The sequence below is a fragment of the Homo sapiens genome, chromosome 4 (genome assembly GCF_000001405.40).
Source record: "Homo sapiens chromosome 4, GRCh38.p14 Primary Assembly".
Classification (NCBI taxonomy): Eukaryota; Metazoa; Chordata; class Mammalia; order Primates; family Hominidae; genus Homo; species Homo sapiens.
Window position 1 is genome coordinate 73,556,823 of NC_000004.12, and position 11,557 is coordinate 73,568,379.

At 35.5% G+C, this 11,557-nt stretch overlaps 1 pseudogene; it reads left to right on the plus strand.

The window, feature by feature from the left end:
* Positions 1–2,411: 2,411 nt before the first annotated feature.
* Positions 2,412–2,489, plus strand: LOC124900927 (uncharacterized; annotated as a pseudogene).
* Positions 2,490–11,557: the final 9,068 nt, after the last annotated feature.

Genomic DNA, 11,557 nt, shown 5'->3' on the forward strand with positions numbered 1-11,557 from the left:
TTGTTTCCATCTTTATCCTTTCTTTTCTTTTAGGATTTTCCCCCAAATTAAAAGAGAAAATAGAAGTTATCTGAAGATTATATCATGCTAATTATAATTTTCTGTAACTACATCTTCAGATAAAATGCTTAATATGTATAATTATGCATAATCTCTAAAGTTTGGTTGGGTTTACCTTTGTATGATTATTCTAAGGCAATAATTCTCAAATTTTAGTGTGCATCAGAATCACCTGTAAGGTGTGTAAAACCACATGAATGTGCTCCATTCACACAATTTCTGATTCATCTGATTTCATCTGGGCTGGGGCCTGATAATTTACATTTCTAACGTGTTCCCTGGTGATACTGATGCTGCTGATTTGGGAACCACACTTTAGGAACCACTTTTCTAAGGTGGAGATAGACAATCACAAATTGTTCCCCATTCCCCTCCCAATGATTGAGGAGTTGGAACCATGTATGGCAAAATAAATATTGAAACAGCTAGAAAAATAACATGTTTATAAAAGAAAATGAAAGAATTTGAGGATATTAAATAGGATAAGAAGACTGGAATATTTAAAAAATAACCTTATAGTATATGAAAAGGTTAACATCATTCTCAGCAAACTATCACAAGATGAGAAAACCAAACACCACATGTTCTCACTCATAAGTGGGAGTTAACAATGAGAACACATGGACACAGGGTGGGGAACATCACACACTGGGGCCTGTCAGGGGGTGGGTACTGGGGGAGGGATAACATTAGGAGAAATACTTAATGTAGGTGATGGGTTGACGGGTGCAGCAAACCACCATAGCACGTGTATACCTATGTAACGAAACTGCACAGTCTGCACATGTAACCCAGAACTTAAAATATAATAAAAAAAGAAAAGGTTTAGCAAAAACGGTGGGAATAGATGATCAAAATATTTTAGAATCTTATCATGAAAATTTGTGTAAGTCTCTGGCTTTTATGTTTGCCCAAGAAGTCTAGGTTTGACGATGGTATACAGGAATAATACCTAGTAGCTTCCCAGGCATCTCCATGGAGCCAAGATCCCCAAGTGAGGAGGTTCAGCTTCTGGCAGTCTGTAGGTGTTCCAATACCTCTAAAAGACTAACTGCTCCAGGGACCTACAAAGCATTTTCTTTGTTTTTTTTTTCTGAGATACTAATAGTCAATTATGCAAACCTGTTCTTTTCTGTTAAAAGAGAGAGTGGGCAGGCTTAAACTTTGCCTTTCTACTATGGATTTGGGGAGGAGAAAGCATTTTTAGACAAGAGAGAAGACATATTTTAAGAAGTAAGCCAAGAATGAAGGATAATTTTAAGGAGGAAAAAAAGAACCAATGTCAATATTGGCATATTTACAAGAGTAAGAAGAAAATGTAAAGAATGAGAAAAATGAGCAGCTCAGTCTACTTCACTTACACAGGGTATAATAGCCTAGTGTGTATAGCTTATTCACTTAATATACCAATACGCCAGGGTGAATTTGAACCATTCAAAGAAGAGGCAGACATCTCACATTTCATGAAATAATGAGAACCATAGCCATCAACTGGATCAAGGAGAAAATTCCACTCCCAGAAATTCTTTCAGGTCAAGGACGAAAGATAACTATTATTCCTTGCTTATTAGGTATTTATTAGCCAACAGAATGTGAATATAGGACAAAGTTATTATGATTTAGCAGAAATTTGGTCAGATTGAAATGATGGTTTGAAAATAACATGAAATGTAATAAGAATAAACTGTTTTGCTTTTAGATGTAGCTTAACAGAAGCACATGTGAGAAGACCTTTTGGTTTAAGTCCATACTTAACAATGAGTTCCCACATTTGATAGGTCTACTATCAAAGCTACTGCAATCTTGGGACTCAGTTCTGAAGGGAAAAATTAAAGAACCAGATTAAGCAAACTGATAATCCTGGCCTATGCTAGCCAGATCATTCTGAGGTACTATGCTCAGTTTATGAACATGGTAAAAGTTCAAATAGACGAGTAGAACACATTTTCCATTTCCCAGAAACAACCAATTTCAAGTTTTCCCTTTTAGTTCTTCTGTGATTACCATCATCACTTTATAGTTTCTTAAAATACAGTCATCACATAAGAAACACAGTGAACTTATGCTAAGTTCAGCCACACTATTCACAGACTCTCTCTCAATAATTTTTAGTTAAAATATTGTTAATTGTTTTATTGGTTGTATTCTATTTCTTGGTCTTTCAACTGTAGTCAGCATCTAACTGATTGTCCAAAACATAATTAACATGTCAAAACTTCCTTTGGTTTATTTGCAATATTTCCTATCTTTTATTTTTCTAGCTATACCATTACTTTCATTCACATTATTTAAATTTATACATCTTGCTTTGTAAATATAACATCTATGTGCTTTATTAATAGGTGGCTCCTAAGAGTATACTTTCAGGGATCATTTCTATAGTTTGTTATTAATAGGTGGCTGCTAAAATGTAGAAACCATTAAATAGTAGACTCAATAGGGTGTTTACTTGGAATATTATTTACAGAGGTTCTATAAATGGATTAACCTATGGGTCAATGACTTGTCCTGTATCTCTCATAAGAGAACATTACAGATGTCAAGTTTAAATAAAGTCTCTACCTACTACCTACTATCAACTGCGGAAACCATGCCACATGTATTTACTTTTGCAATTTGAACATGATTTTCTAGTATGTCCTTCCTTTTTTTGAGTTTTTACTTGCCTTTCTTTTTCCATGTTGACAAAGAAAGCACAAAGCACTTATTTTCATTATACCACTAACATAGTTCAAGTTCTTAATTATATAATTTCTGTAATAGAATATTCCATCATCTTAAGGCTATATTTCAAAACATCTTCTGATTTATCTTTCAGTTTGGATCCTGTTATTTTTAGGTTAGATTAGTGACCATTTACATAGGGTTTATTTTCAGTGTAATCCTTAGTAAATTTGACTATTTCTATTATTTTATATTGTATTCTTGGATTCTTTTAAGTTTTGCTAGGCTATGTTCTTAAGTTATGTATGTACATATGTTTTTTTTTTTTCAAAATAGGCAACTGGGAGACAAACTTTTTGGTTCCTTGCATTTTAAAATATTATTTTGTCCATATAATTGGACCATTATACTGATTATTTTGTCCATCTATTTGCACAGTATTTTTTGCGGGTATGTCAGTTGGGGTTTTAAAATGATAAATAATGGAATTAAATTCTGGCTAACCTAAGTAAATATGAATATATTGAAATGATATTGGTGGCTTCAGGCATCTTTGGGAAGTTTGAAAAGTGCTGGGCACCAGACAAGAATCAAAGTGGCTCAGAAATCAATGCCTTTCTGGTCTTTTACTGCGGATATATCTTTTTATGTTACTATTCTGAGCTCCTATTTCTCCACTTTAATATATTGGTCAATATCATCTCAAATTGCTTTCTCCAGTTTTCCCCCCAGAAGTCCATCAACATCTTTTACACTGATGGTGCATTTTTTAAAAGCATTGTCCAGGCTTTATTCTCTTTTTGTATCTTTTTGCCATTATTGCATTGAGATTTCAGAAGAGATGAGAGACAACATATTTTAAGAGTATGTTGGAAAACTGTTATGTCCAGAGAGTATTCAGAACGGAAAAGGGATTGAAAATCATGTTACCAGGGACATGAAGGGATAGACCGGTAATGTTTATTACAAAGTCTTAGGATTGGTGACATGTTAGCAGTCTCCCAACAGGCCCAGAATTCTAGGAAATTAAATAGCGGAAAATTTGGACTCAGCATAAGGAATATCTGTCCTTTCTTTTCTCTGTCCTCTACATTCCATCATACGAGTCAATGTTTTATATAACAAAATCTGGCATGGGCCTATTTCCGACTGGGAAGTGATTATTCCTGTTTATATTTAATGCAGGGAATTCCTCATTTATTAATGTACTCTTCTAAGAGGACTTCCTTCTGCCTTACCTTAGCCTCAAGTATTTTTTTTACAGCATTTGTTATAACAATTAGAGATTTATCAAGGAACTATGGAATACATGAAGTCAGGAAGGACAAATATAGAGAAAGATTACTTTCATCGCTATTGCTAGGTTCAGAGAAAATAGGCAAGATTAAATATAAAGATCTTGGGTTAAGCTTATGGGGAAATTTCCCAAGAAGATTGATTTTGGAAGTCATGTATTGCCAAAGAAGCAAGGATACCTTAAACTCCAGAGGTATTTTAAAAATCAAGCTTAAATAGGTTATAATCTGCCCAAATAATTTAGTGTGGTACTGTTTGAAAGTGGGAGGAAGGATTAAATTTACAAATTTCTAACAATTTTTCACAGGATCCTAGGGACTCGTAGGAGTGTAAGTCAGCTATCCCCCAGGGTGTGTGTGTGTGTGTGTGTGTGTGTGTGTGTGTGTGTACATACCTTAACAGTGTCATTCTATGAGTCCCATTCAAACTTTAGCTAATGAAGATCTCACTTTTATCTGTCTGTCTAGGCTTTTATAAATGATTTTTATTTGAAGAAATACTATACAAGTAAAAATTGGAGAAAACTTCTGGGCTTAATATAGAAGACTATATCAATATATATATAGAGAGAGAGAGGCTTAGAGATGCTATGATTAATGTTAGCAGTTTTGTTCCTCTTGAGTTCTTGTATCTAACTATGTAGTGATACGTGGGAATAGCCTAGAATAGTTTAAAATTCAGTGAGATGCCGTTGTTGATGGTCTTTTTTACCCTGCAGCAAAACAGTATCACTTTTTTTTTTTTTTGAGATGGAGTCTCGCTCTGTCGCCCAGGCTGGAGTGCAGTGGCGACATCTTGGCTCACTGTGACCCCTGCCTTCCAGGTTCAAACAATTCTTGTGCTTCAGCCTCCCGAGTAGCTGGGACTACAGGCCATGCCACCACGCCCAGCTAATTTTTTGTATTTTTAGTAGAGACGGGGTTTCCCCAAGTTGGCCAGGCTGGTCTTGAACTCCTGACCTCAGATGATCCCCTGGCCTTGACCTCCCAACTTGCTGCAATTACAGGCGTGAGCCACCGCACCCAGCCCAGTCTCACATTTTTGTGAGGAGGAAGCAAATTTATATTTATTACAATTGGAGCCCTGAAAGTAGAAGAGGAATTACAGTTCATTAAGCCTTTAAGCTAAAGGACTACCACTGTGGGAATGCCTAAGACCTTGATCAAAGGGTACATTAGAACCCATCTCAGGCTGTGATAGTAAGTCTTTTTGCCAAGGGTGGGGGAGTATCCATCACCTCAAGCATTATCTTCTGTATTTCAAACAATCAAATTATATTTTTTCATTATTTTTAAATATACAATTAAATCATTTTTGACTAGTCAACCTGTTGTGCTAGCAAATACAAGGTCTTATTCATTCTAACTCTATTTTTGTATCCATTAACCATCTCAACTTGTCCCCCATTTTTTCCACTACCCTTCCTAGTCATTGGTAACAGCTTTATAATCTCTGTCTCCACGAGGTCAATTGCTTTAATTTTTAGCTCCCACAAATAAGTGAGAACATGCAATGTTTGTCTTTCTATGCTTGGCTTATTTCACTTAACAAAATAACCTCCAGTTCCATCCATGTTGTTGCAAATGACTGGATCTCATTCTTTTTTTTAATCACTGAATAGAACTCCATACCACATTTTCTTTATCCATTCATCTGGTTTTGGCCTTTTAGGTTGATTCCAAATCTTGGCTATTGCGAAAAGTGCTGCAATAAACAAAGGAGTGCAGATATCTCTTCGATATAATGCTTTCCTTTCTTTTAGGAGTGGGATTCGTGGATTGGATGGTAGCTCTGCGTTTAGTTTTTTGAAGAACTTCCAAAATGTTCTCTATAGTGGTTGTACTAATGTACATTCCCATCAACTGTGTACAAGGTTTCCCTTTTCTCCACATCCTCCACCGGCATTTGTTACTGCCTGTCTTTTGGATAAAAGCCATATTAAATGGGTGAGATGATATCTCATTATAGCTTTGATTTGCATTTCTCTGATGATCAGTGATGTTGAGTAGTTTGTCATATATCTGTTTGCCACTTGTAGGTCTTCTTTTGAGAAATATGTATTCAGATCTTTTGACCATTTTGAATCAGATTATGATAATTGTTTGAGCTCCTTATATATTCTTGTTGTTAATCTCTTGTCAGATAGGTAGTTTTCAAATATTTTCTTCCATTCTGTGGTTTGTCTCTTCACTTTGTTGATTGTTTCCTTTGCTGTGCAGAAGTAACTTGATGTCATTCCATTTATCCATTTTTGCTCTCGTCACCTATGCTTATGGGGTATTACTCAAGAAATCTTTGCCTAGTTCAATGTCCTAGAGAGCTTCCTCAGTTTCCTTGCAGTAGTTTCAGAATTTGAGGTCTTAGATTTATGTCTTAATCCATTTTGATTTGATGTTTGTATATGGTGAGAGTTAGAAATCTAGTTTCATTTTCTGCATATGAATGTCTAGTTTTCCCAGTATCATTTGTTAAAGACAGTGTCCTTTCCCCAGTTGATGTTCTTGGCACCTTTGTCAAAAATGAGATTACTGTATATGTTTGGATTTATTTCTGCATTCTGTATTCTGTTCCATTGATTTATTTGTCTGCTTTTATGCCAGTACTATGCCATTTTGTTTACTATACCTCTGTAGAATAATTTGAAGTCAAGGTAATTGTGATTCCTCCAGTTTTGTTCTTTTTGCTTATGATAGTTTTGGCTATTCTGGGTCTTTTATGGTTCCATATACATTTTAGAATTTTTTTCTATTTTTGTGAAAAATGTCATTTATATTTTGATAAGGATTGTGTTGAATCTGTAGATTGCTTTGGGTAGTATGGACATTTTAACAATATTGATTCTTCCAATTTATGAACATGGAATAGTGTTCCATTTTTTGGTATGCTGTTCAATTTATTGCATCAGTATATTATGGATTTCATTGCAGATAACTTTCACTTATTTGGCTAATTCCTAGGTATTTTATTTTATTTGTAGTTATTTGAGATTATTTTCTTGATTTATTTTTCAAATTGTTCACTGTCGACATATAGAAATGTTACTGACTTTTGTATGTTGATTTTGTATTTTGCAACTTTACTGAATTTGTTTATCAGTTTTGATAGTTTTTTGGTGGAATCTTTAGGTTTTTCCAAATATTAGATTATATCATTTGAAAGATGGATAATTTGATTTCTTCCTTTCCAAATTGGATGTCCTTTATTTCTTTCTCTTGTCTGATTGCTCTAGCTAGGACTTCCAGTACTATGTTGAATAACAGTGGTAAAATGAGCATCCTTGTTTCGTTCCACATCTTAGGGGAAAGGCTTTAAGTTTTTCTCCATTCAGTATGATCCTAGCTGTGGATCTGTCATATATGGCTTTTTATTATGTTGAGGTAAGTTCCTTCTACATCCAGTTTTTGGAGGGTTTTTATCATGAAGGGATGTTGAATTTTATCAAATGCTCTTTCAGTATCAATTGAAAAGATCTTTGGTTTTTGTTCTTCATTCTGTTGATATGAAGTATCACATTGATTGATTTGCATATGTTGAATCATCCTTGCATCTCTGTAATAAATCCCACTTGGTCATGATAAGTGATCTCTTTAATGTGTTGATGAATTTCATTTGCTAGTATTTTGTTGAGGATCTTTATATCAATATTCATCAGGGATATTGGCCTGTAGTGTTGTGGGTTTTTTTTTTTTTAATATCTTGTCTGGTTTTGGTATCAGGGTAATAATGGCCCCATAGAATGAGTTTCAAAGTATGCCCTCCTCCTTTATTTTTCAGAATAGTTTGAGTAGGATTGGTGTTAGTTATTTAAATGTTTGGGAAATTTCACAGCACAGCCATTGGGTCCCAGGCTTTTCTTTGCTGCAAGACTTTTATTACAGCTTTGGTCTTACTACTTGCTATTGGTTTGCTCAGGTTTTGGATTTCTTTATGGTTCAACTTTGGTAGATTGTATATATCTGGGAATTTATCCATTTCTTCTAGATTTTCCAAGTTACTAGGATATAGTTTCTCCAAGTAGCCATCTATGACCCTTTGAATTTCTGTGGTATTGGTTTTAATGTCTCCTTTTTCATCTCTGATTTTATTTATTTTGGTCATCTCTCTCTTTTTATTAATTAGTCTGGGTAAAGGTTTGTCAATTTTATCTATCTTTTAAAAACACAAACTTTGTTTAATTCATCTTTTGTATTGTTTTCTTAGTTTTAATTTTATTTATTTCTCCTCTAATTTTTATTATTTCTTTTCTTTCCTAATTTTGGGTTTGGTTGCTCCTGTTTTTTTAATTCTTAAAATGCATTGTTAGGTTATTTATTGGAAATTTTTTTTCTTTTTTTGATGTAGGTGCTTATATCTATAAATATCACTCTTAGTCCTGCTTTCACTGCCTTCCCACAGGTTTTTGTATGTCGCATTTCCATTATCACTTGTTTCAAGAAATTTTTCAGCTTCCTTCTTAATTTCTTCATTGACCCACTGGTCATTCAGGAATATGTTAATTTCCATGTGCTTGTACAGTTTTCAAAATTACTCTGTTATTGATTTCTAGTTTTATTCTATTGTTATCAGAGAAGTTGCTTGATATTATTTCAATTTTTTGCATATTTTCAGACTTGTTTTGTGACCTAACACATGGTCTGTCTTGAGGATGATTATATGCTGAGCAGGAGGTGTATTCTAGCTATGCCAACTAGCTATGCCAGCTCTTTTATGCTTTTCATTGGCATGGAATATATTTTCCATCCCTTTATTTTGAATGTAAATGTGCCTTTACAGGTGAAGTGTGTTTTTTGTAGGGAACAGATCATTCAGATCATTGCATCTTGTTTTTTTTTTTTTTTTTTTTTTACATGCGTTCAGCCACACTATGTCTTTTGATTGGAGAGTTTAGTCCATTTACATTCAACGTTTTTTTTTTTTTTGATAAGTAAGGACTTAACCCTTGTCATTTCGTTGTTTGTTTTCCAGCCCTTTTGCGGTGTTCTCTTCTTCCTTTTCTTCCATCCTGCATCCTGTCTTTTTTTTAGTGAAGATGATTTTCTCTGGTAGTATGATTAAATTTCTTGTTTTTTATTTTTTCATGTATCCATTGTATGATTTTTGATTTGAGATTCCATGTTGCTTGCAAACTGTATCTTTTAACCTATTATTTTAAACTTATGACAACTTAACTACTGATTGCATAAGCAAACAAAAAGAAAACTAATAAAATCTCTATACTTTAATTGTATTCCCTCACTTTTAAACTTTTTGTTGTTTTCCTTTATGTCTTATTGTACTATGTCTTGAAAATTTATTGTAGTTATTATTTTTGATTGGTTCATCTTTTAGTCTCTCTAGTTAAGAGTAGTTTACATACCACAATAATAGTGTTATGATATTCTATCTTTTTCTATGTACATACTATCACCAGTGAGTTTTGTACCTTCAGAAGATTTTTAATGTTGATTAATATCCTTTGTTTTCTGGTTGTAGAACTCCCTTTAGCATTTCTTGTAGGAGAGTTGTGACGCTAATAAAATCTCTCAGCTTTTGTCTGTTTGGGAAAGTGTTTAATTTTTCTTGATGTTTGAAGGATATTATTACTAGATATACTATTCTAGGGTAACAGTATTTTCCTTCAGCATTTTAAATATGTAATGCCACTCACTCCTGGCCTGTAGGATTTCCACTGAAAAATCTGCTGCCAGATAGAGCTTCATTGCATGTTATTTGTTTCTTTTATCTTGCTGCTTTTAGAATCCTTTCGTTATCCTTGACCTTTGGGAGTTCGATTATTAAATCTTTTGAGGTAGTCTTCTTTGGGTTAAATCTGCCTGGTGTTCTATAACCTTCTTGTACATGGATATTGATATCTTTCTCTAGGTTTGGGAATTTCTCTATTATTACCCTGTTGAATAAATTTTCTACCCCATCTCGTTCTCTTAATCCTCTTTAAGGACAACAACAATTAGATTTTCTGTTTTGAGCTTATTTTTCTAGATCTTGTAGATCTGTTTCATTTTTTTCTTCTGCTTGATCAATTCTGCTATTAAGACACTCTAATGCATTCTTCAGTATGTCAGTTGCATTTTTGATCTCCAGAATTTCTTTTTTTTTTTTTTTTTTTTTTTTTTTTTTGAGACGGAGTCTCGTTCTGTCGCCCAGGCGGGAGTGCTGTGGCGCGATCTCCGCTCACTGCAAGCTCCGCCTTCCGGGTTCACGCCATTCTCCTGCGATCTCCAGAATTTCTGTTGGATTGTTTTTAATTATTTCAATCTCTTTGTTAGATTTATCTGATAAAATTCTGAATTCCTACTCTGTGTTATCTTGACTTTCTTTGAGTTTCTTCAAAACAACTATTTTGCATACTCTGTCTGAAAGGTCACATATCTCTGTTTCTCCAGGATTTGTCCCTGGTCCCTTATTTAGTTCATTTGGGGAGGTCATGTTTTCCCCATGTTTTCCTGGCTGAGCTTGATGCTTGCGTATGTTTGTCAGTGTCTGAATATTGAAGAGTTGGGTATTTATTGTAGTATTTAAAGTCTGGGTTTGTTTGTACCCATCTTTCTTGAGAAGGCTTGCCAGGTATTCAAAGGGACTTGAGTGTTATGATTTAAGCCAATCTGCATTAGGGGATACCCTAAGCCCGGCAATGTTGTGTTTCTTGCCGGCCTGTGGAAGTATTGCTTTGGTGGTCTTGGAAGAGATCCAGAAGAATTCTCTGGATTACCAGGCATAGATTCTTGTTCTCTTCCCTTACTTTTCCCCAAACAGAGTCTCTCTCTCTCTCTGTGCTGAGCTGCCTGGAGCTTAGGGTGAAATGAAACAAGCACCCCTGTGGCCACCATTACTCGACTGCACTGCATCAGACCTGAAGCCAGCAGAGCACTGGGTCTCACCCAAGTCCACGGTAGTTACCACCTGGTTGCTGCCTATATTCACTCAATGCCCTAGGGCTGTATAATCAGCAGATACTGAAGCCAGGCAGGCTTGTGTCCTTCCCTTCATGGCAGTGAGCTCCCCCAGGCCATGGGTGAGTCCAGAGATGCTGTCCAGGAGCCAAGGCCTGGGATCAAAAATGTTAGAAATCTACCTGATGATTTTTATTCTGTAGCTAAGCTGGCATTCAAATAATGAGACAGTGTCCATCCCTCTCCTCCTCCCTCCCCTTTCCACAGGCAAAGGAATATCTCCCTGTGGCCACCACCACCACAGGCCTACAGGGACTAATGCCAGGCTACCACTGATGTTCATTTAAGGCCCAAGTCCTCTTCTGTCAGCTTGTGGTAATGCTGCCAGGCCAATGACTCACAATTCAGGGCAGTGGGCTCCCATCTGGCCCAGGACCAGTCCAGAAATGCTGTCCAAGTGTCGAGGCCTAAAACTGGGGACCCCACGAGCCTGCTTGATACTCTGCTCCACTGTGGCCAAGCTAGTACAAAACAGAGTCCCCTTTACTTTTCCCTCTGCTTTTCTCATGTAGAAGGAGTCTCTCACCATAGCCACCGTAGCTGGAAACGTGCTCAGTCTCGCCTGAAGCCAGCACATTTCAGAGTCT